Source organism: Homo sapiens, chromosome 15 (genome assembly GCF_000001405.40).
Source record: "Homo sapiens chromosome 15, GRCh38.p14 Primary Assembly".
NCBI lineage: Eukaryota > Metazoa > Chordata > Mammalia > Primates > Hominidae > Homo > Homo sapiens.
The window spans coordinates 23,952,011-23,978,197 of record NC_000015.10 but is presented as its reverse complement, the minus strand read 5'-3'; the positions used below and the strand labels follow the sequence as shown (position 1 = coordinate 23,978,197).

The window sequence follows — 26,187 nt, the reverse complement described above, 5'->3', positions numbered from 1 at the left end:
GTGCTGTTCTCAGGATAGTGAGTGAGTTCTCAAAAAAGCTGATGGTGTTTGGCAGTTTCCTCTTCACTCTCTTTCTCGCCACCTTGTGAAGAAGGTGCCTGCTTCCCCTTCACCTTCCGCCATGAGTATAAGTTTCCTAAGACCTCCCCAGCCATGTGGAACTGTGAGTCAATTAAACCTTTTTTCTTTATAAATTACCCAGTCTCATATAGTATCTTTACAGCAGTGGGAAACAAACTAATACAAAAATACAAACTAATCAAATAAAGAAACTAAAAAAAATTCATTTAACATGGCATCAAAAAGGAAATGTATTTGGAAATAAATTTAACGTAAGTTTGAGGCATGCAGATCATGAGGTCAGGAGTTCAACACCAGCCTGGCCAAAATAGTGAAACCCTGTTTCCACTAAAAAATACAAAAAATTAGCCAGGCATGGTGGTGGGCGCCTGTAATCCCAGCCACTCGGGAGGCTGAGGCAGGAGAATTGCTTGAACCTGGGAGGTAGAAGTTGCAGTGAGGTGAGATTGCACCACTGCACTCCAGCCTGGGCAACAGTGCAAGACTCTGTCTCAAAAAAAAAAAGTACAAGACTATATATACATGTACTGTAAATTACAAGTGATACTGAAGTATTAAAGAAATCCTGAATAAATGAAAAAAAAAACCTAGATTTTCCTTGATGAGAACGCTATTAGGTACTTACCAAGATGCTTATACTTTCCAAATGTATATGCAGATTCAATACAATCCCTACAAAAATTCTAGCTTTCATGTTTTCCATTTTTTTGTGATAACTGGACTGCAGGTTCTAAAATATACAGGAAAATGCATTTAATCCAGAACACCCAAAAGAATGTATAAAAATGTTTGAAGAAATACAAATGATATATATGGAACTTTTGCTCATAAGGAGATGGAGCATAATTCCCTACTTCCTACATATGTGTTGTTCATAATGACTTTTTTCCAAAAATACATCATGAAAACAGGAACAAATATTAATTTTGTAGTGGTAAACTTGAGCTAAACTGCCTCATGCAGGTGATCAAATAACGTTAACCATGATAAGGCAGCTGGGCATGGTAGACCACACCTGTAATTCCAGCACTTTGAGAGGCCAAAGTGAGAGGATCACTAGAGGCCAGGACTTCAACAAAAGGCTAGGCAACATAGGGAGACTACACCTATACAAAAGTAAAAAGTAAAAATAAATTAGCCTGGCATGGTGGCACATGCCTATAGTCCTAGACACTCAACAGGATGAGGTAGAAGAATCACTTGAGCCCAGGAGCTCAAGGCTGCCTTGAACTAGTATCATGCCACTGCACCCCAGCCGGGGCAACAGACAGAATGAGACCCTGTCTTATAAAAAAAAAGTTGGAGGGGGGCGGTGGGTGCGGTGGCTTACACCTCTAATCCCAGCACTTTGGGAAGCCAAGGCAGATAGTATCACGAGGTCAGGAGATCGAGAGACCATCCTGACTAACACGGTGAAACCCCATCTCTATTAAAAATACAAAAAATTAGCTGGGCGTGGTGGCGGGCACCTGTAGTCCCAGCTACTTGGGAGGCTGAAGCAGGAGAATGGCATGAACCTGGGAGGCAGAGCTTGCAGTGAGCCAACATCACGCTGCTGCACTCCAGCCTGGGCAAAAGAGTGAGACTCTGTCTTTAAAAAAAAAAAGAAGTTGCTAGTATATACTGAGTCATCACTCAGCCTGTACCCATCTCTAAGATCACGGCATGGAGGGTTGGGGGTATATCCTACGCTGCTTGTTCTTTTGTTTTTGTTCCTACTGAGCTTCCTTGACTTACACACAATGCACGTGTATCACTCCCTAACATTCACCTGAGAAAATCGTGATGTGTAAAAATTTATATCCAGGTTTCTGTAAGCAGGGACTGGCCTAAATCACCCTATTAGAAATATTTTTTGTACTCTGCTTACTACCTGCTAGCGTAGAAGCTTTAGGAATGCCAATTGGCAATATAATTCCACGATATGAGTGTCCACATAATGCATGGTCTCAAACAATTCCTGATGGAGTCTGTAGAGTTAAAAAGAAAAAAATATATATTAGTACAGGTTTCCTGAAAGGTTTAAAAGTACAGTTGTCTTTTGATTACTTGCAGAAGAAGTACAAGTACTTCTTGTACTTTCTTGGTACCCTTGTACCAAGAACATTATCCAGAAGGCAGAAATATGATTTATGCTCCCTGTCACTGAAATTTCTTATTCTTGGCTTCTAGTATCTCAGAGTCTATCTCCCAAAAAGGCTTCAGTGGGAGACTGCATATACACTGCTAAATGACGCCCACAGATGGGTCTTTCCGGGATATGTGAAGGAAAGGCAACTTTCTTTGAAAAAGGGGTTGCTGACATTCAAACTGGTGACTGCATAATGGGGACGGAGAAAGAGGATGACAGTCCCTGGAGCTTGATGGTGCCTTCCTGAAGCAGGTGCACCTGGGTTTAGAAAGGTGACTAGATAAGAAAAGCCAGTTTGCTATTCTCACCCTACATGCTATTGTGTCTCTGGAGGCCAAATTTTTGCCTTATGTCTTCATTTTATTTCTATAAAACAAATTAATAATTTTAAAAAACATTTACTTTGAAATAACTGCACATTAACATAAAGATGCACTGGTAGTACAGAGAGTTTTGTATAACCTTCAGCTAACTACAATGTTATTATCTATTATAACCATAATATAGTTTTAATGAAAACTAAGAATTTTAACTGTTTTTCAAAACCATCAGCTGATCTACAAACTTTCTTCCTATTTTACCGTGATTTCTGATAATGATGTATTTATCTATTCCACACCTAATCCAGAATGCCATCTTAAAATTACTGTCAGTTATATTACTTATTACTTGGTGCACAACAAATTACTATATACCTAAGTGGCTCAAAAAACACACACGTATTACTCACAGTTTCTTTGGGTCTTCAGTCCAGATGCAGGTGATGGCCCAGGCTGAGGCTCAGCTGGGGAAAGGTCTCCTTCCAAGCTCACGTGATTGTTCCTAGGATTTGCTTCCTTGCCCCAGTCAAGATAATTCATTAGTCAGTTATTGGAATCACTTAACAATTAATATTAATTTATAATAAGTTGTTAAAAACAACAACAACAAAGTGGAGAAGGCATCGCATTTCATTTATACTGTGAGTTGGTTTACCCTGATACCGCAACTAGACAAACAGATTTCAAATAATGAAAATTAAGAACACACCTTACGAATATAGAGCCAAAAATCATCAAGGAAATCCTAGTAAAACAAATCAGCAACATGTAAAAAGTATTATAAAATATGTCAAGGGTATTTACCTCAGGAAAGCAACATTTGGTTCAACATTCAAGTACAATTAATGCCATGCACTATATTAATATGATAAAAAACAAAACCACATAGTCATCTCAAAAGATGCAGCAACACCTGAGAATTCCTGAACTCACTATGATAAAAACATGCAGCAGGCCAGGCGCAGTGGCTCACACCTGTAATCCCAGCACTTTGGGAGGCCGAGATAGGCAGATCACGAGGTCAGGAGATCGAGACCATCCTGGCTAACACGGTGAAACTCTGTCTCGACTAAAAGTACCAAAAAAAAATTAGCCAGGCGTGGTGGCGGGCACCTGTAGTCCCAGCTACTCGGGAGGCTGAGGCAGTAGAATGGCGTGAACCCGGGAGGCAGAGCTTGTAGTGAGCCAAGATTGCGTCACTGCACTCCAGCCTGGGTGACAGAGCGAGACTCCTTCTCAAAAAACAAAAACAAAAACAAAAACAAAAAAAAACATGCAGCAAATAAGGCAGATAAGGGAAGTCAAACTCTTGTTTGCAAATGACATAATCTTATGTATAAAAAAATCCAAAGGACTCTAATAAAATATATTTAAACCTTAAAGATGAGTAACAAACTTACAGTATATACGGTCAACATATAAAATCCTTTGAATTTCTATACACTAGCAATTAACAACCTAAAAACAAAACTCAGAAAACCATTCCACTTGAGATGGCATCGAAAATAGGCATGTTTATCAAATTAAGTGTAAGACATGTACACAAAAACTAGAAAACATATTGAAGAAAATTAAATAAATAGAAAATATTTGAATGTTCATTGCTTAGAAGGATTAGTACTGTTAGGATGGCACTATTTTCCAAATAGATCTATAGATTGAATGCAACATCTACCAAAATCCCAGGTGATATTTCCTTCCCCTAAATTAACAAGGTTATTTTAAAGTTCATATGCAATGCAATAGACCCACAGCAGCCTAAATAATCTCGAATAAGAGGCAAAAGGTTGGAATTGTAGACATCTACTTCCTGATTTCAAAACTTAACTATTAATACAGTCCGGCACAGTGGCTCAATGCCTGTAATCCCAGCACTTTTGGAGGCTGAGGTGGGCAGAGCACTTGAGGTCAGGAGTTTGAGACCAGCCTGGCCAACATGATGAAACCCCATCTCTACTAAAAATCCAAAAATTGGGCATGGTGGCGCATGCCTGTAATTCCAGCTACTCGGGAGGCTGAGGCACGAGAATTGCTTGCGCAAGAATTGCTTGAACACAGGAGGTGGAGGTTGCAGTGAGCCAAGACTGCACCACTGCATTCCAGCCTGGGAGACACAGCAAGACTCTGTCCTGAAAAAAAGAAAAAAAAAGAAAAACTTACTGTTAATACAAAAGAATACAAATCAAGATTTATGGTACTTGTATAAGGATTTACATATTGATCAACAGAATAGAATATAATGGACAAAAATAAATCCTTACATTTATGAGGAAATAATATTAGCATGTGGTCAAATAAATTAGGTATGGAGTTTTTTTTTAATCAAATGTTTCTGAAAAACGCAGATATCCGTAGGCAGGTCGGACTCCTGCCTCACACCACAAACGTAATTGACTCAAAATAATCATACATCTAAATATAATAGCTAAACAGGCCCAAACCATACAAAAAACACAGAAATACATCTTTGCAATCTTAGGTGAAACAATGTTTTCTAAGATATGACACCGAAAACACAGGAAAAGAAGAAAAAATAGATGTACTGAACTTCATTACAATTAAAACATTTTGGGATTCAAAGAACACCATCAAAATTAGAAACCCAAGGAAAGAGAAAATGTATGTAAATTTTATACATAATAATGGTTTATTATTCAGAATATATGACTATCTTAAAACTTGAAAATAAAAAGGCAAATATACCAATCAAAAATTGAAAATTATTCGCATAGCCATTATTCCAAAAAATCTAGTCATACCCAAAAATGACATGAAAAGACACTCAATGCCTTTTGCCATTCTGAGGCGGGAGAACGGCATCACTTGTTTTCTGCTAGCAACCCTACTGACCAAAACAAGATCTGTTCCACACAGGATAAAGTGAAGAAACCAACAAAACCAGTAGATAGAGACAAAAGCGATCCTGGCCATCCTCATTAGCGTAAGACACTCCATCAGCACCATGACTGTTTACAAATTCCGCGGCAACAACCTGAAAGTTAACAGCCATTTCAATGGCAATGACCCATTAGTTACTGCCCATTCCCTAGAAAGTTCTAAATAACCCACCTCTCAATTTGTAATGATCCAACCCTCAATTTTCATGTAACTGAAAGCAGATTTACGTTAGTGTAAATACAGTTGTCAAGAGGCCATAGATTGCCAACTCTGGAGAGACTGCCTAAGAGTTAGCCCTGCTCTGCAAGGAGAAGTACCATAAAATAAAAAGATTTCTACCACCACTGGTTCACCCTTAAATTCTTTACTTGGCAAAGCCAATAACCCTCCAGGCGAAGCCCCAATTTTGGGTGTCACCTATCCTGCAAAAATTAGGGGAACTAAAATCTAAACAGACACGGGATTATACTTCAAATTCTAAAAAAAAATATTGCTAAATATTGCTAAGTGAAAAAATGTAAGTTGGTAAAGGCAAAATACTGTGCAATTTCATTTATATGACTCTATAGAAAAGGCAAAAGGATAGCAATAATTAAGAGTTTGGTGGTAACGAGCGGCTTGAAGGAGAAAAAGGTGGAATCAGTTAACTATCAAGACTTCTTTTGGACAGTGAAATTACTCTCTGATACTGTAATGCTGGATACCTAATTATGTTTTCCAAATCCTGAAGAGCTTTGTAACACAAAGAGTGTACCTAAGTTATGCAAATTAAAAACCTTATTTAGGAGGTAGAGGCTTTCCAGGGACGATGCCCACAATATAATATAACTATGTAATGAATATATGGAATAACCTCACCAAAGAAAATGGAAGAAAGCAGCTGACCTAGGTAAATATGTGGTCCCATGAATTAATGATGGAGTCTGCATGATGAAAACTGAATTATCAGTGTTTTCTCAAGGGCTTAAAGGTATCCTTCTCTTTTAAAACTTGAAAAAGAATGCCTGTACAAAGAAAACACTCCTAATGCAGACATATGATTCATGTTTCCCATCACTGAGCATTTCTCAATCTTGTCTTCTAATGTCTGGAAGTTCTGTCTTTTAATTTTTTAAATTTTTTTTTTTAAGACGGAGTCTCACTCTGTCACCAGGCTGGAGTCCAGTGGCATGATCTCAGCTCACTGCAACCTCCACCTCCTGGGTTCAAGTGATTCTCCTGCCTCAGCCTCCTGAGTAACTGGGACTACAGGCGCCAGCCACCATGCCGAGCTAATTTTTGTATTTTTAGTAGAGCCGGGGTTTCACCATGTTGGCCAGATGGTCTCGATCTCTTGACCTCATGAACCACCCACCTCGGCCTCCCAAAGTGCTGGGATTATAGGCGTGAGCCACCGCACCCGGCCTAAAATGTCTAAAATGTCTTTTCTGGGATCCTACAAACACACTGCCAGGAAGCACCTGAAAACAGGGCCTTCTAACCTATGTGAGAAAGTCACCTTTCTCTAAAAACGTGGTTACTGAGGCAAGAAATTGGTGACTGGGTAATGGGGAAGGTGATGGGAAAAAAGAAAATGGATGAGAGTCCCTAGAGCTTGATGGTGTCTTTCTCAAGCAGGTGCCCTATGTAGGAATGGGGGATAATGAGGCAAGCTACTTTGCCTTTCACTCTCTGCATCTCCACTCATCCTCTGATCTAAGGTTTCTTTGTGGTCTATGTCTGTTTTTTTTTAATAAATAATACATTTTAAGAAACATTTTTTATTTTGAAATAATTTTAGATTTACAGAAAGTTATGAAGATAGGTTTCATATATCCTAAAGCTTCCTGAAATGTTAACAGTTTATATCAACATATCTATGAAAGCTCAGAAATTTACAGTGATACAAAACTAACTAACTGAAATATAGACTTTCTTCACATTTTACCAAGTTTTTCAGTAATGTCATTTTTCTGTTCTAGGATCTAATCCAAGATACCACATTATGTTTACTGTCAGGCATATTACCTACTGATTGCTCTATAACAAAGTACTACACAGCAAAGAGGTTCAAACCTACCCATAAATACACATTACTTATAGTTTCTCCTGGTCAGATGACCCAGGGGGAGATTTCAAGGGAAGGCTCACCTGGGGAAGGATCACCTTCAAAGCTATTGTGATTGTTGTGAGGATCCAATTTCCGTCCAGGCCAAGATGACTTCACTGGTGAATTATTCCAAAGCTTTTGAGATTTAATAAAACAATGTTTTACTTATTTCTTCCAAGAAAAACAGAGGAGTAGAGAACCCTTCCCAATGCACTGTATGAAGCCAGTGTTCCCTGACACCACAACTAAACAAAGACATTTCGAGAAAGGAAAACTACAGACCAATATGAAACAGAGGCAAAAATTCTCAAAAAAAATACTATCAAAATAAACCAGTAACATATAAAAAGGATTACACACTATCGGCAAAAATACTGATTTCCTGGAGTGTAAGTTTGGTTAAACGTACAAAAACAATTGGTGTTATAAACTATACTAATAGAGTTTAAAAAACAAAAGCCTCATGGTCACCTCTAAAGAGGCGGAATAAGCATTTGACAAATCCCAAAACCATTCATGATAAGAGCTCTGGAAAAATTAGGCATAGAAGAAAACTTTCTAAACCAAAAACTGTATCTATGAAAAAGTCACATAACAACATAAACAAAGACATATAAGCCAACAGAACACAGTACTCCAAAATCAATCTTTAGGGCAAACTTATTTTCAAGGTTGAAAAATTAAAGATGGAAAAATATTTTCTCAACAAATGTTACTGGGAGAAGGTGATATCCACATGGAAGTTAAACTCTTTCCTGCACTACGTATGTGTCTAACTCAAAATAGAGCATGTGTCTAAATGTAGGAGCTAAAACTAAAAATCCCATAGATGAGAACATAGAAATACATTTTCATGGCCTTAGGTGAAACAATGGATTCTAACATGTGACACGAAAATACAAGTGAGAGGAAAAAAAAATAGATGCATTGAACTCCATGTGGATTAACACATTTTGTGATGCAAAATACACCATCAAGACAACCCAAATAATGGAAGAACATATTTCCAAGTCATATAGTTGTTAGGAGACTATTGTCCAGAATACATGAAACATTCTTTTTTTTTTTTTTTTTTTTTTTTTTGAGACTGAGGCTCGCTCCGTCACCAGGCTGGAGTGCAGTGGAGCATTCTCGGCTCACTGCAACCTCCACTTCCTGGGTTCAAGCAATTCTCCTGCCTCTGCCTCCCGAGTACCTGGGATTATAGGCTCGCGCCACCATGACCAGCTAATTTTTGTATTTTTTAAAGTAGAGACAGGATTTCACCATGTTGGTCAGGCTGGTCTCAATCTTGTGACCTCGTAATCCACCCGCCTTGGCCTCCCAAAGTGCTGGGATTACAGGCATGAGCCTCCGCACCTGAACACATGAAACATTCTTAAATGCAACATTAAAAAGACACCCAGCCTAATTAAAAGTAGGTAAATTGTATGAATGAATAGACATTTTTCCAAAAAGCTGTAGAAATGTCCAATAAACTCCCAAAAAGATGCTTAACATCTTTACTCCTCGGGGAAATACAAATCTAAGCTACCATAGGACACACTTCACAAATCTTAAAGGCATATTCATAAATGTTTGAAGAAATATTTAAAAGTCTATGCAATTTCAATATATGACACTGAGGAAAAGGTAAAATTATAAAGAATATAAAAATATGAGCTATTACTAAGGTCCTAGAAGAGAGAAAGTTTGATTAGGAGAAATACAAAAGATTATTTGTACATTAAAATTATTATCTGGGCCAGGCATGGTGGATCACCCCTGTAATCCCAGCACTTTGGGAGGTGAGGTGGGCAGATCACTTGAGCTCAAGAGTTTGAGACCAGCCTCGACAACATGGTGAAACTCCATCTCTATCAAAAATACAAAAATCACCCTGGCATGATCACGTGTGCCTGTGGTTCCAGCGCTGCAGGAGGCTGAAATGGGAGGATCAGTTCAGCCCAGGAGGCAGAGGTTGCAGACTGCCAAGGCCATGCCACTGCAATCCAGCCTGAGTGACAGAGTAAGACCACATCTCAAAAAAAAAAAAAAATTATGATGCTGTGATGGTGTTAATGATACCATTTTTTTAATCCTACAGAATTTCACGTCACAAAGAGCAAACCCAAATAATGTATGTAAATTGCTTTAAGAAAACAATAATTATTAAGTTGGGGGATCCCAGAGAGAAATTCAAACAAAGTAACATAACTATATAACCAAAGTATAGAATAACCTGAGTGAAAAGTATAAGAAAAAAAGGTTTACTGACCTAAGTAAGTTGATAAGATTCTATGTCCAAAAACCAAAATATTTAAACATAAACTCTGCACTTTAGTTGATGAAGTTATTGCCCCTGGGAGTATGGATTACCAATTCAGAAACTACAATACTTGTATTTTGGGACTCATGGTTACATAAACATGACTAACTTTCTCACACACTGAGAGGTAACATAAATGTAGTTGAATCGGGTACACTGATTCCTGTGGTACTGGATTATATCATGTGGTACTGGAGATATAGGTAGAAATTCATGTCTAACTTCATACAGACATATATAGAGAACTGTAGAACTATCTATACATATGCATTTGTAAATTGGTATAAACACACATCCCTTTACCCTCGTTAGCTGAGATAACCTAGAATCAACAGATCCTAAACACAAATGAGTGAAATCACTGCCCAGACCTTTGTTTCTAATATAATTACCAAAAAGTAACAGAGATTGCTTGAAAACCATGTTTAATACTATGCTCGAGAAGAACATCAACACAGTTAACCTGGAGAAACTCGTAGTGCCACCAAGAAAGAAAAAGTGAAACAATAATACAACCAAATATACGAACAAAATCAAAGTGTGATGATGCTAATATATCAAAACCATAAAGGAGTATATACAGACCTTCCAATGGCCAACACTAGAACAATTTTTAATAATATATTAGTACAATAAAATGTAAAACTAATATTATGACTTCATATTATAATTTATACGATATAAACAAATGATTGAACAAATAGATAATAAATTAAGAATAGACAAATTATCTTTGGTGAAGAAATACAAATGATTTAGAAGAAGATCTGCTTATGAGGAAGTAGAGCATGTTTTTCTACTTCTTTAGTATGTGTTGTGCATAGCAACTTCTTTTTAAAAAGTGCAACATCGGAAGAAGAAATATTTAAGTTTTATCCAGATGATCAAGTTAACATCAACAGCAATAAAGCATATTGTCATATATTCACTTGGTATAAAGTAATGAGAATGGCACTTTCCCTCTGTGGTCTTCCTCTCCAAAACCCACCAGTCGAGTCTAACCATGATTAACATCAGAAAAATTCTCCATGAGGGATGTTAATGTCATCAAAAACAGGGAAAGTCTGAGAAACTGGCCCAGGTAAAACCAGCCTAATTAGACACAATATATAAACGTTATATAGATCCCAAGTGGGATCCTGGAATAATAAATGGACATTAAGTGAAAGCTAACGATATACAAATAATGTGTGTTAATGAATGTGTAACGTTCATTTTGTTAACTGTGTAACGTTCCCTTTGTTAACTGTGACAAATATCCCACACTAAGAGATTAAAAATAAAGAAAATTGTGTTGGATATCAATAAACTCTCTGTACTGATTTCCAACTGTTCCATAAATCCAAAAGTATTCTAAAATAGAACAGTTTCTCTTTTTTCCCCAATTAACTCCTGAGCTTAATAAAAGAGAATACTATCAATATTGTTAATGTTCCTGAGTGCATTTCTCAAATTCTATTTTCTTCCTTAAACTGGTGAAGGTTACTATTATTTGTCTCTGTCATTTTTTTTAATTTTTCTATGTAAGTTGGCTTTGCTAATATACTATTCAGTTTTTTCATTTTTCCAACTTAGAGAAATGTAGTGCCTAAATTAATCCATAACTCCAGTCAAATTATGAGAAACTACTTGGACAAATCCATATCATGGTACATTGTACAAAATACCTGACTGGTTCTTTTTTTTTCCCCACAAGGACCAAGGTCAGCAAAATAAGTGAAGACTGAGAAACTACTTTAGATTGGGCAAGACCTGATGTGGTAGATAGGCCCTAAGATGGTAATTCCCACCTCCAGGGATACACAATCTGGTATTCTACTTTTCTCCTTATGAGTGTAAACAGGAGTTGTGACTTGCTTGCTAACAATTCAGTAATGCAGTTTTGGTACTTAAAATTGTGATTTCTGTCTTGCATACAAGCTCTCGCCCTTGATGACCAATATGAAATAATCTCCCTGTGAGAGAAGCCAACATGGGAAGGAACTAAATGCAGCCTCTGGTCAACAGCCAGCAAGGAACTGAGGCTCCTGGTCAAACAGCCTGCCCTAAAGTTTGCAGCTTACATTCATGACTATCCCAAGTCCCCTTTCAAATAGCAGTATATCACTTAAAAGGTAGTGTAAACACCTTATAACAGAATAATAATAATTATTGTATCCCATCATTTGTATCATTCTTGTCATTAATATCAATTGAATAAAGCATACTTGTATGTATATTCATGTACAGGTATATAAGTGTGACATACACATAAGAATACCTAATCATATGATGTTGCTATTATTGTATTTAACAATTTATTAAGTAGCAATTAAGCATATGAAAAAATAAAAGTTTTTACTCTAAACACTAAAAAACAAATTTTAAAAGTATGACTGATATGCTATTTAGGAGAACGAAATAATATAAAATGCCCAATTAAAACCACAAAAGGCAGAAAACAAGCAGATAACAAAAGTAAGAATAAAGGGCCACAACTAGAAGATATTAGCAAATATAAAAAATATTAATCCAACTATATCAAAATTCATGCTGAATGCCAAGGGTCTAACCTTACAAATTAACCCATTACCTGTTTGCCCCAAGAAATGAGCACTGGCAGCAAAGCTACACTTTTTTTTTTTTCTAAACAGGAAATTAGTTAAAAGATAAAATTGTCAGAGTGGATGAAAAAGCAAGGCACAACTGTATGTTATTCATAAAAAATCCATTTTAAATGATTACTTGAAACTAAAGTAATGAATGCAATAAAATATATCCTGCCAACACTAATTATAAAATATAAAATTATAAAAATAGCTGGTGTAACAACATTGTCAGACAGAGTAGATTCTGAATCAAGAAGATTATCAGGGATAACAAGCTGCTGCCCAGTCCTTGGTGGGAGTGGTTTATAGAGTAAAGGCCATACCCACTGTGTCATCTGAGCTTGCGCAGGAGGAGGCAGGGATGTTTGTACAGGTTCTTCCTATCACGGACTGTTGAAGATGGAATACAACTTTGGGGAATTCTTTGCTCCAGAAATCAAGAAAGAAAAGGAAGCGGTGGCCAGGCACGGTGGCTCACGCCTATAATCCCAGCACTTTGGGAGGCCAAGGCGGAAGGATCAGAAGGTCAGGAGATCGAGACCATCCTGGCTAAGACGGTGAAACCCCGTCTCTACTGAAAATACAAAAAATTAGCCGGGCGTGGTGGCACCCGCCTGTAGTCCCAGCTACTCGGGAGGCTGAGGCAGGAGAATGGCGTGAACCCGGGAGGCGGAGCTTGCAGTGAGCCGAGATTGCGCCACTGCCCTCCAGTCTGGGCGACAGAGCAAGAATTCATCTCCCAAAAAAAAAAAAAAAGGAGGCGGCATGACATTAAGTTTAATTCCCTAAGAATGAATCACCACCAAAAAACAATACCAGGAGTGATACTGAGGGCACTGCCCAATATCACCCAAGATTCACAAGAATATTAGAGACATAAGTGTGAATAACAATGTTTTAATGTTATAAATACACCTAAATTTCTTCAAGGTTAAACTGGGAATAGTGGTTAGATTCAAGACGTACGGATTTTATTTCTTCTCTCTCTTCATTAAAGAATAGCTAGATGATTAAAAATGGGCTCTGGGCCGGGCGCGGTGGCTCACGCCTGTAATCCCAGCACCTTGGGAAGCGGAGGAGGGCGGATCACGCGGTCAGGAGATCCAGACCATCCTGGCTAACAGAGTGAAACCCCGTCTCTACTAAAAATACAAAAAAATTACCCGGGTGTGGTGGCAGGCGCCTGTAGTCCCAGCTACTGGGGAGGCTGAGGCACGAGAATGGTGTGAACCCGGGAAGCAGAGCTGGCACTGAGCCGAGATCGCGCCACTGCACTCCAACCTGGGTGACAGAGCGAGACTCTGTCTCACACACACATGCGCGCGCGCGCACACACACACACACACACACACACACACACACACACACAAAGGGCTCTGGCCAGGCACGATGGCTCACGCCTGTAATCCCAGCACTTTGGGAGGTCAAAGTTGCAATGAGCTGAGATAGCGTCACTGCACTCCAGCCTAGCGACAGAGTGAGATTCTGTCTCAAAACAAAACCAAAAAATAAATAAATAAATAAATAACCCAGGGCTCTGGAGCAAAAATTTTGTGTTAAACGGAAATCTCTCACTAACTAAGACAATACGATATTTTCACAAAGATGAACAATGACAAAAGAAAACTCAAAATCAGACACTATGCATATTTAAGTAAATGAATAAATCCTATATAATTTTATAACACAAAGGATAAACATAAAAGTATACAAAAGGTAAACATAAAAGTATATAAACTAAAAACCTTATTTATCACCTTATTTATAAACTTTAAACTTATTTATCAACTAAAAACCTTATTTTGGCAAGTTAAAAAAATCAGCAAAAAAATGAATAATCCCATTAAAAAGTGGGCAAATGAACAGGTATCTTTCAAAAGATGACTTGTAAGTGATCAAAAACATACGAAAAAATGCTGAATGTCAGTATCAGGGAATGCAAATTAAAATCATAAGATATCACCTTACCCTAGTCAGAATGGCCATTATTCAACAGTCAATAAATAATAGCTATTGGTGAAGATAAGGTGAAAAGGGAATGTGCTTATACACCCTTGGTGGGAATGTAAATTAGTACAACCTGTATGGTAAACAGTATGAAGATTTCTCAATGAACTAAAAGCAGATCTAATATCCAATCCAGAAATCCCATTACTGGGTATACACTCGAATGAAAAGAAGTCAATATATCAAAAAGACATCTACACTTCTAGGTTAATCACAATAGATTTCACAACTGCAAAAATATTAAATGAATCTAAGTGCCCATCAACAAGCAGATAAAGTAAATGTGGTATATATGCATCACAAAATACATATATCACAAAATACATATATCACAAAATACATATATCACAAAATGAATATCACAAAATATATATCAATATATATCACAAAATATATATATCACTATACCACAAAATACTACTCAGCCATGTAAAAGAACAAAATAAAGTCTTTTGCAGCAATTTGGATGGAACTGGAGGCCATTATCCTAAGGGAAGTAACTCAGGAACAGAAAAACACTGCAGATTATCACTTATAAATGGGAGATAAGTTATGAATAAACATGTTTAATACTATGTTTTTCATAATATGGATAAACATGTTTAATACTATGCTTGAGAAGAAAATCAACACAGTTAACCTGGAGCAACTTGTAGTGCCACCAAGAAAGAAAAAGTGAATCAATAATACAACCAAATATACGAACAAAATCAAAGTGGGATCATGGACATTAGACTCAGAAAGGAGAAGGGTTAGCGGGGAGTGAGAAATGAAAAATCACCCATTGTGTCCGGAGTTGGTTCCTGCCTGTGGGTTCGTGGTCCCGCTGACTTCACAGCCGGGAACCCTCAGCAGTCGACCTTCGCAGTGAGTGTTATAGCTCTTAAAGATGGCACCGACTCAGCAGCGGACCTTCCCAGTGAGTGTTACAGCTCTTAAAGATGGCACGGACCCAAACAACAAGAGGTAGCAAGGTTAACAGTGAAGAGCAAAAACACAAAGCTTCCACACCCTCGAAAAGGACCGGACCAGCTTGCGGCTGCTGGGAGGAGGCCATTGTTTATTCCCGTATTGTCCCCTCCCATGTTCCGTTTCTGTCCTATCAGAGTGCCCTTTTTTCAATCCTCCCCACTATTGGCTACTTTTAGAATCCTGCTGATTGGTGCGTTTTACAGAGCACTGATTGGTGCATTTTACAGAGCGGTGATTGGTGCGTTTTACAAACCTCTTGCAAGACACAAAAGTTCCTGATTGGTGCATTTTACAATCCTCTTGTAAGAAAAGTTCCCCAAGTCCCCACTTGACCCAGGAAGTCCAGCTGGCTTCACCTCTCACTATGAGGTAAAATATACACTCTTCAGGTCACAGGTACACTAAAAACCCCAGACTTCACTACTATACAATTCATTCATGCAACCCAAAACCACTTATAATCCTAAACCTACAATTTTTTTTAAAAAGCAGTGGTGCATGATTCCCCCACTTTTAAGTGTGTGTTGTATATAGTGACTTTTTTTCATGCATACAACATGAAAAGGGGGGAAAGGAGTAATTTTTTTTTTTTTTTTTTTTTGAGACGGAGTCTCGCTCTGTCGCCCAGGCTGGAGTGCAGTGGCGGGATCTCGGCTCACTGCAAGCTCCGTCTCCCGGGTTCACGCCATTCTCCTGCCTCAGCCTCCCAAGTAGCTGGGACTACAGGCGCCCGCCACTACGCCCGGCTAATTTTTTGTATTTTTAGTAGAGACGGGGTTTCACCGTTTTAGCCGGGATGGTCTCGATCTCCTGACCTCGTGATCCGCCCGCCTCGGCCTCCCAAAGTGCTGGGATTACAGGCGTGAGCCACCACGCCCGGCCGGAGTAATTTTACAAAAGAGACTTGTTAGTAACTACCTCATCCAGGTTATCAAATTAACATCAACAGTGATTAAAGCCAGTTGATACCCTGTGCCCGGGATATTATGTGATGAGAATGGCACATTTCCTCTGTGATCTTCCTCCCCTAAACCCACAAATCCAGTCTCTTCATGAGAGAAACATCAGGGAAACCACAAATTAGAAATGTCAATCCCATCAAAAACAATAAAACTCTGAGATATTATCACATTCAGAAGATCCTAAAAATACATGATACCTAAATGTCATGAGGTATCCTGGATGAGATCCTAAAACGTAAACATAACATTAAGTGACAACTAAGAAATCTGAATAAAGTGTAGATGGTACTTAATGATAATCCATGATATTGGCTGGTTAATTTGACAAATGTCCCACACTAATGTACAAGGTAAATAATAAGGGACACTGTGTGTGGGGTATGTTGGAAACTCTTTAATATATTTGCAACTATTCTGTAAATGTAAAAGTATTCTTTTTAAAAAAAAGAAACGGTCCGGCGCGATGGCTCACGCCTGTAATCCCAGCATTTTGGGAGGCCGAGGCGGGTGGATCACCTGAGGTCGGGAGTTAGAGACCAGCCTGACCAACATGGAAAAACCCCGTCTCTACTAAAAATACAAATAAAATTAGCTGGGCATGGTGGTGCATACCTGTAATCCCAGCTACTCGGGAAGCTGAGGCAGGAGAAGCGCTTGAACCCAGGAGGCAGAGGTTGCAGTTAGCTGAGCTCGCGCCACTCTGCACACAGCCTGGGCGACAGGGCGAGACTCCATCTCAAAAAAAAAAAAAAAAAAAAAAACCTATTCTTTAAAAAGAGTTTTTTGTTTTGTTTTGTTTGTTTTGTTTTGTTTTTGTGAGACAGAGTCTCGCTCTCTCACTGAGCCTAGAGTGCAGTGGCCAATCTCGGCTCACTGCAAGCTCCGCCTCCTGGGTTCATGCCATTCTCCTGCCTCAGCCTCCCAGGTAGCTGGGACTACAGGCACCCGCTACCATGCCTGGCTAATTTTTTTGTATTTTTAGTAGAGACAGGGTTTCACTGTGTTAGCCAGGATGTCTCGATCTCCTGACCTCGTGATCCACCTGCCTCGACCCCCCAAAGTGAAAAAGTGTTTTCTTAAATGTCACTCCCAAGCTTAAGAAAAATAATCATTAGCAATATTGCTGATACCTCCTTTGTGCCATCTACTTAATTTCATAGTTTTCCTTAACCACTGAATTAAAACTATATTGTGAATTCGTTGTCATTTCCTATTTTAAAAATTATTCTCCTCTGAGTTTTTAAATCTGAATACTATATTGTTTAGGTCTTTTTTGTCTTCAAACTTAGGTGACTGTATTTAATTCCATCCATACTTACATTGTCATCATGATCACACAAAACCATATTGTAGGTAGGACATGCTATAAAATACCTGACTGGTACTTTTCAAAAGGGTCACTTTAAAAACAAGTGAAGACCAAGATACTGTTTCATATAGGAGAATATCTGATGTGTCAAGTAGATTCTAAGGTGGTGCCCAATTAGCCCCATCTTCTCCAATGCATAACCTTCTATTCTAATCCCATCCCGGTTAGTGTAAGCAGGAATTGTGACGTGCCTTGAAACAACAGAATAGTGCAAAGGTGGATAAATGTGACTTGGATTCTTATATACAATTATGATATTGGTTTTGCTAGAAATATCTCTTGCTTGATGGATTTTATGAAGCCATGTGAGAGAAGTCCCCTTGGCAAGGCACTTTATTCAGCCAATGGCCAATAGCCAGAAAAGTAATGGGCTTTTTATGCAATAGACTGTCCTACAGTTGGTAATATTATATTTAACACTGACTCATACTGCCCAAAGACATTTACAGATTCAATGCTATTCCTATCAAACTACAAATGACATTCTTTAAGAAGTAGAAAAAACTATTTTTTTTTTTGAGGCAGTCTCACTCTGTCACCCAGGCTGAAGTGCAGTGGTGCGATCTTGGCTCACAGCAAGATCCGCCGCCTGGATTCACACCATTCTCCTGCCTCAGCCTCCCGAGTATCTGGGACTACAGGCATGTGCCACCACACCTGGCTAATTTTTTGTATTTTTAGTAGAGATGGGGTATCAGCATGTTAGCCAGGATGGTCTCGATCTCCTGACCTCGTGATCTGCCCACATCGGCCTCCCAAAGTGCTGGGATTACAGGCATGAGCCACCGCAAGGCCCGGCCTAGAAGAAACTATTTTGAAATTCATATGAAATCACAAAAGAGCCCAGACAGACAATGCAATCCTAAGCAAAATGAACAAAGCCGGAAGTATCACATTGCCCGACTTCAAACTATACTACAGGGCTACAGTAAAAAAAAGAGAGCATTGTACTGGTACAAAGGTGAGCACAGACCAAGTGAACAGACTAGATAGCCCAGAAATAAGTCCACACACCTATGGCTATCTGATCTTTGACAAAGCAGACAAAAACAAGCAATGGGGAAAAGACTCCCTATTCAATAAATGGTGCTGGGAGTACTGGTTAGCCATATGCAGAAGATTGAAACTGGACCCCATCCTTATACCATATACAAAAATCAACCCAAGATGGATTAAAGACTTAAATGTAAAACCCAAAGCTATAAAAACCCTGTAAGACAACCTAGGCAATACCATTCTGGACATAGGAATGGGAAAATATTTCCTGAAAAAAACGCCAAAAGCAATTGCAACTGAAGGAAATACTCACAAAAGGGATCCAAATCAACTTAAGAGCTATACAACAAAAGAAACTATCAACAAGTAAACAGACAACCCACAGAATGGGAGAAAATAGAAAATATCTGCAAACTATGCATCTGACAAAGCTCTAATATTCAGCATCTATAAAGAACTTAAACAAATTTACAAGAGAAAAACAAACAACCCCATTAAAAAGTGGGCAAAGGACATGGACAACTTCTCAAAAGAAGACATACATGCGGCCAACAAGCATATGACAAAAAAGTTCAGCATCACTGATACAGAAACGCACATCAAAACCACAATGAGATACTATCTCACACCAGTCAGAATGGCTTTTATGAAAAAATTAAAAAGCATATAAAAAAAGCTCAATATCACTAACTAGAGAAATGCAAATCAAAACTACAATGAGATACTATCTCACACAAGTCAGAATGGCTTTTATTAAAAAGTCAAAAAACATATTTACAAAAGCTCAGTATCACAGATGATTAGAGAAATGCAAATCAAAACCACAATTAGATACTATGTTATACCAGTCAGAATGGTTTTTTATTAAAAAGTCCAAAAATGAAAGATGCTGATGAGGTTGCAGGAGAAAGGGATAACTTATACACTGTTGGTGGGAATATAAATTAGTTCAACCAGTGTGGAAAGCAGTACGGGGACTCCTCAGAGTTAAAATCAGAACAACCATTCAACCTGGCAATCCCATTACTAGGTATATACTCAGAAAAATATAAACCATTCTACATGCATGTGAATGTTCACTGCAGTACTATTCACAATAGTAAAGACATGGAATAAACCTAAATGCCCATCAATGACAGAAAAAAGAAAATGTGGTACATATACACCATGGAATACTATGTAGCCATAAAAAAGGAGATCATGTCTCTTCCACTCTTCCAGGAACATGGATGAAGCCTGAGGCTATTAGCAAACTAATACAGGAATAGAGAACTACTGCTATGTTCTTACTTAAAACTGTGAACTAAATGATGAGAAATCATGAACACAAAGAAGGTAACAACAGACATTGGGGCCTACCTCAGGGTGGAAGGTGGGAGGAGGGAGAGGAGCAGAAAAAAATAACTATTGGGTACTAGGCTTAGCACCTGCGTGATCAAATAATCTGTACAACTAAAATTGGCCTCAGTCCCATAGACAGTTATTTTTGGATAAACATGGAAATTGACCCTTCTGCTGTTAAACCTTGAAACTTGTATTTGTTTTATCTGAGTTCCCTCCCCAGGAAACAAACTTCAGGCCTCTCACAAAAAGGATCAAAGAACTGAAAGCAGACAATGACCCCAGACTTCACAGACCCTTCTTTCTTCATGATTACTTCCTTGCACCCTCCCTAGTTAGTGTTTTCTTACACAGTGTTACATTTCTTCCCTGCTACATAAACCCCTGGTTTTAGTCAGTCAGGGAGATAGATTGCAGACTGAGCTCCCATCCCCTTGACTGCAGCACCCAATTAAGGCCTTCTTCCTTGGCAATACTTTGTCCTCTCAGTAATTGGCTTTCTGTGCAGCCAGCAGCAGGACCTAGACCAAACCCCTGGTGTTTCAGTAACAAACAAACCCTGTGACACGGGTTTACCTAAGTAATGAACCTGCATGTGTATCCCCAAAGATAATTTTTTTAAAAAACCAAAATTATATTAAAAGATATCAAAATAATCAAAATTAAAAAATAAAACTAACCCAAGCTGCTTTTAAAATACAACTACACTGCTTCACAGGTACTGTATCTTATAACAACAAAACAATTCTAATTCCCTTCTTTCGTTAGTAAAGTTATCAAGAATAAAGAAAGGCATTACATAGAGATGAAGAGCCACTCTTCCAGTAAGATGTCATAATTCTTAAAGCCTATGAGCCTGACAACAGAGTGTAAACTATGTGAGACAGAAAGCAACAGAACCACAAGGAAAAAGATATGTATTCACTATTACAGTTGGAAACGTTATCATATGTCAAGTATGGGCAGATCTAGCAGGCAGCAATTCAGGAGGGAAAACCTGAACACAACAGCACCACCAAGCAACTGGGCATAACTGACACTTACAGCCTACTTCCCTCAACTACTGCAGATGACACATTCTTCTTAAGCTTGTATGGAATATTCAGCAAAATATATCACATTCTGGGACAAAAAAATACTCTAACAATTTAAAGAAAATGGAAATCATACAATGTCAGCTCCCAGACTACAGTGGAATTAAATCAGAAATCGCAGGATAACTGCAGCAACTGGAATATCACAAAATGCATAAAGATTAAACAACACACTTCCATATAACGTATGGGTCAAAGAAAACAACCAGACAGTTTTTTAATTTTTTAATTTTTCAACCTAAATGAAAATGAAAACACAATTTCTCAAAATTTGTGAGATGAAAGGAAAACAGAGCATATAGGGAAACGTATAGCACTGAACGCATACATAGGAAACAATGAAAGATCAAAAATCTGTCATCTGTTTCTAGCTTTGCAACTTAGAAAAAGAAGAATATATTAAATCCAAACTCAGTTAAAGAAAAGCTGTAAGGCTATTAACAGTAAAACAAAGTAAAAGTAAAAGCAACTGCATTTTTCACACAAATATTATCTTAGTTCTTAGAACACAGAGGCATCCAAAATTAACAGGGCAAACAAAGCATCCCAAACACCCCCCTTGCTTACGGGCATGCAGCCATGACCCTCTCAGAAATGACGACCCCACGCTTCAGAAATGATCAGTCTCAGGCTCCTGAGGCCGGGCACTTTCATTTGCTCCAAAGTCGTACTGAACATTTTAGAATTGCTAAATAACAGATTTTTAATATTCTCACCATAAAATATTGGTCAGCTGGTAAGCTGATGCATATGTTAATTAGCTTGATTAAATCTTCCACTATGAATATAAAAATCAAAACATCACATCATAATCCATAAATATACGCAATTGATGTCCATTAAAAATAAAAAGTTTGGGCCGGGCGCAGTGGCTCATGCCTGTAATCCCAGCACTCTGAGAGGCCGAGGCGGGCGGATCACAAGGTCAGGAGATCGAAATCATCCTGGCTAATACAGTGAAACCCCGTCTCTACTAAAAAATACAAAAAAAAAAAAAAAAAAAAAATTAGCCGGGCGTGGTGGTGGGCGCCTGTAGTCCCAGCTACTCCGGAGAGTGAGGCAGGAGAATGGAGTGAACCCAGGAGGCGGAGCTTGCAGTCAGACTAGATCGCGCCACTGCACCTCCAGCCTGGGCGACTGAGCGAGACTCCATCTTAAAATAAATAAATAAAAATAAATAAATAAATAAATAAATAAATAAATAAATAAATAAAACACTTTGGTAATTTTTTTTTTTTTTTTTTTTTTTGAGACGGAATCGGACTCTGTCGCCTAGGCTGGAGTGCAGTGGTGCAATCTTGGCTCACTGCAACCTCCGCCTCCCGGGTTAAAGCGATTCTCCTGCCTCAGCCTCCCGAGTAGTTGGGACTACAGGCACCCGCCACCATGCCCAGCTAATTTTTGTATTTTTAGTACAGACGAGGTTTCACCATCTTGGTCACGCTGGTCTCGAACTCCTGACCTCAGGCGATCCACCCGCCTCCGCCTTCCAAGTGCTGGGATTACAGGCGTGAGCCACCGTGCCCAGCCACTTTGGTAAGTTCTTTACGAATAATTCAAAAAGAAAAAACCTAGGTAAATAACTATTACTACGTCCATAATATAAAAGGGCACATGTGAGAGAAAGCACACAGTTTAAATGTACCTTAAGGTCTGGGAAACATGGAAAACTCCTGAGGTTTGTAGGAGAACAAACAGGGACGACGACACAGGCAGGCACCACCTCGGGAACAAGCGGAAGTTCGCAGAAAAGCGACCCTGAAAGCCCAATGCCTCTGACCCTGCAGAGAGCCGCCCTCAGTTCCCCTGTGGGCCTCGCCGCCCCCACATTCCAGTGTCAGCCTTGCCCTCTGCCCTCTGCCTTCTCTCTCCCTGTGGGCCTCCCCCCCAGCTCTTGGCGCCCACTCACTCCTGCTGTCTGCCTGCCGCCCTCACTCTGCCTGCCTCCCTCTGCAGTCCTCCCGCCGTCCTTCCTCAGCCCTCGCTTTCCTTGTAGGCCTGGGCCTCTCCGCTGCCCTCTGCCCTGTGCCCCCTGCCCCCTGTCCCCTGTCCCTTGCCCTCTGCCTGCGGCCCTCACTCCCCACCTCACTGTGCAGACTTGGGCACCACACATCCTGTCAGGCTGCTTCCAGCTTCCGGTAGAATAGAGGAAAGTATACAGAATACACAAGTATGTAAATAAAAACCATGTAAATAGAATAAAGTATTCAAAATTAATCGTTACAGTTACCGAAAAATGACTTTTCAAGGCTGCCAAGATAATTTAGTATGGAAAATATTTTCTGTAAAATTACTGGGACAAGTGGATATTGGCATGAAAGTTGACTCCTCCCTCACAAAATATACTTAACTGACTCAAAATAGATCATAGACTCATATGTATGAGCTGAAACTACAAATCCCATAGAATAGAACATAGAAATAAATCTTTGTGGCTTAGGTGAAACAATAGATTGACACCAAAATACATGCCGCAAAAGAAAAAAAAATAGATAAATTGAACTTCATTAGATTTTAAAACTTTTGTGATTCAAAGTACACCATAAGGATAACCCAAACATGGGAGAAATGTTTGCAAGTCATATAGCTGATAGGGGTCTGTTGTCGAGAATATAGAAAACATTGTTACAAAACAAAACAAAGAAAAGATCATAACTAAATATGAGTACATTGTGTGAACAGATATTTCTCCAAAGAAGCTACACAAATGTCCAAAAAGCACATGAAAATATCTTCCACACCTTTAGTACTTATTTATTAAAATGCAAATCTACATTATCAAGAGATAGATACACTTCCCAAATTTTTTTTTGAGACGGAGTTTTGCCCTTTTTGCCTGGGCTGGAGTACAATGGCATGATCTCAGCTCACTGCAATCTCTGCCTCCCGGGTTCAAGCAATTCTCCTGCCTCAGCCTCCCGAGTAGCTGGGATTACAGGCAAGCACCACCACACCCAGCTAATTTTGTATTTTCAAGAGATGAGGTTTCTCCATGTTGGTCAGGCTGGTCTCGAACTCCCAACCACAGGTGATCCACCCGCCTCGGCCTCCCAAAGTGCTCAGATTACAGGCATAAGCCACCGTGCCTGGCCCACAAATCTTAAAAGCATATTCTTAAGTGAAAGAAGCCAGTTTGAAAAAAGTACATACTGTGTAATTAATTACATTTATATGACATAGTGGACAAGGTGTAATTATAGTTAGGAAAAAGGTAAGTGATTAAAAGGGGCTTGAGGCCAGTAGCGGTGGCTCACGCCTGTAATCCCAGCACTTTGGGAGGCCAAGGCGGGCAGATCATCTGAAGTCAGGAGTTCGAGACCAGCCTTGCCAACATGGTCAAACCCCATCTCTACTAAAAATACAAAATTAGCCGGGTATGGTGGTGCATGCCTGTAATCCCAGCTACTCAGGAGGCTAAGGCAGGAGAATCGCTTGAACCCAGGAGGCAGAAGGTGCAGTGAGCCGAGATCATGCCACTGCACTCCAGCACTCCAGCACTCCAAGCCTGGGAAATAAGAGCAAAACTCCGTCTCAAAAAAAAAAAAAAAAAAAAAAAAGCGCTGGGTGCTTGAGAGAGAAAGGTTGAATAGGTGAAATAGAAACTTTGTATGTGTGCAGTGAAATAATTTTCTGTGATACTTCAATGGTATGTTAATTATACTATTTTACAAACCCCGTAGAATTTTACATCAAAAAGTATAAACCTACATAAATGTGAATTTTAAATGTCATTTAATAGGTTAGGAGATCCTATGGGGGAATGCAGTCAAAATAATATAAATGTGTAACAAATAAATGAAATAACCTCATGGAAGGAAGTGGGGGCAAAGGAGACCAAGCTAAGAAATTTAGAAAAATAGAAGTTCTTAGGCTAAATGTCAAAGTATTTGTTCATAAATACTCTACTTTAGTTGGAAATATTCTTTCCCATCGGGGTATGAATTACCAATTCTAAAAAAACTCTGCATGTATTTTGGGCTCTGAAATTACATAAAGTAGCCCAACCGTCTCACTGTTAACATGGGAGGTAACATACAAGTAGTGGGAATGGGGAGATTGATTCATGTGGTACTGAATTAGATCATGGGTGCTAGAAACAGGAAGAATTCATGCTTAACTTTACATAGATACATATGGAGAAATGTAGACCTACAAATACATATGTCAATATGAGTTACACACACACATACTTTGTCAGATGACAAAGCATAGAACTAGTAAGTCCCTAGTAGAAATGAGAACACTACTCCCCAGAGTTTTGTTTCTAATGCCACTCACCAAAAAAGGAACTAGGAATTTTTGGAGAAATGCTTAATGGTAGGGTTGGGCAGGGAATCAACACTATTAAGTTTAAGCACCTTGTAGTGCCAGAAAGTAAGAAAAAGTTAAACACCACAACCAACCACCCAACTACACAAACAAAATCAAACAGCAATGATGTGGGTATTTCAAAGTGGTAAAGTAGCAGCTGACTGAAAGACCTTCTAATGACCAACACTAGAGCAATTTGAGTAACACAATAAACTAGTACAATTACAGTGGAAATAAATATTTATTATTTGCATAATATTCCATATGTTCTAATTAAATTAATATAAAATAAATGCTGGAGAATAGGTAAATTGCCTATAGTAATGAAATACAAATTATATTTGTAGATGTCCTATCCCCAAGGAGGTAGAGCATAATTCTCCACTTGTGAAGTATGTGCTATGCATAGTAACAGTTTTCCAAAAAGTATGGCATGGAAAAGGGGAAGAAAGATTAATTTTAGAGTTGAGAAACTGACCTAAACTCCCTAATGTAGGTGATCAAATTAGTATCAATAGTTGATACAGCATTCTGATATAATGTCGTGAGTATCACACTTACCCCTATGGTCTTACTGTCCAAAACCCAGAACTCCTGTCTGACTGTAAGCGAAAAAAAAAATCACGGAAATCCCAAATGGAGGATGTCAATGTCATCAAAAACAAGGAAATTCAGAGAAACTGACAGAGACAAAGAAAGACTAAGGAGACATGATATCAA

The 26,187-nt window shown here is 38.8% G+C and overlaps 2 long non-coding RNA genes across 2 annotated transcripts in view, besides 2 other annotated features; both read right to left on the bottom strand.

The window, feature by feature from the left end:
• Positions 1-3,051, bottom strand: part of PWRN4 (Prader-Willi region non-protein coding RNA 4) — a 113,008-nt gene extending 109,957 nt beyond the window's left edge. The window contains exons 1-2 of the long non-coding RNA NR_126392.1: positions 2,943-3,051; positions 1,955-2,051 (exon numbers count right to left, since the gene is read on the bottom strand). This is a non-coding gene — a long non-coding RNA (Prader-Willi region non-protein coding RNA 4). The remainder of the gene's footprint in view (positions 1-1,954; positions 2,052-2,942) is intronic.
• A 1,571-nt stretch (positions 3,052-4,622) lies between these two features.
• LOC107984787 (uncharacterized) lies at positions 4,623-23,162 on the bottom strand. Its single transcript, XR_007064535.1, has 3 exons — positions 22,802-23,162; positions 7,561-7,654; positions 4,623-4,661 (listed from the first exon to the last, which is right to left on the bottom strand). It is a non-coding gene; the product is annotated as an uncharacterized LOC107984787 (long non-coding RNA).
• Positions 22,559-23,070: an enhancer, noted in NCBI's record as "H3K4me1 hESC enhancer chr15:24200275-24200786 (GRCh37/hg19 assembly coordinates)". NCBI's record gives its function as "activates a minimal SCP1, AML or CMV promoter by ChIP-STARR-seq in primed H9 embryonic stem cells {active_cell/tissue: H9 hESC(primed)}" and the evidence as "EXISTENCE:reporter gene assay evidence [ECO:0000049][PMID:30033119]".
• Positions 23,071-23,584: an enhancer, noted in NCBI's record as "H3K4me1 hESC enhancer chr15:24199761-24200274 (GRCh37/hg19 assembly coordinates)". NCBI's record gives its function as "activates a minimal SCP1, AML or CMV promoter by ChIP-STARR-seq in primed H9 embryonic stem cells {active_cell/tissue: H9 hESC(primed)}" and the evidence as "EXISTENCE:reporter gene assay evidence [ECO:0000049][PMID:30033119]".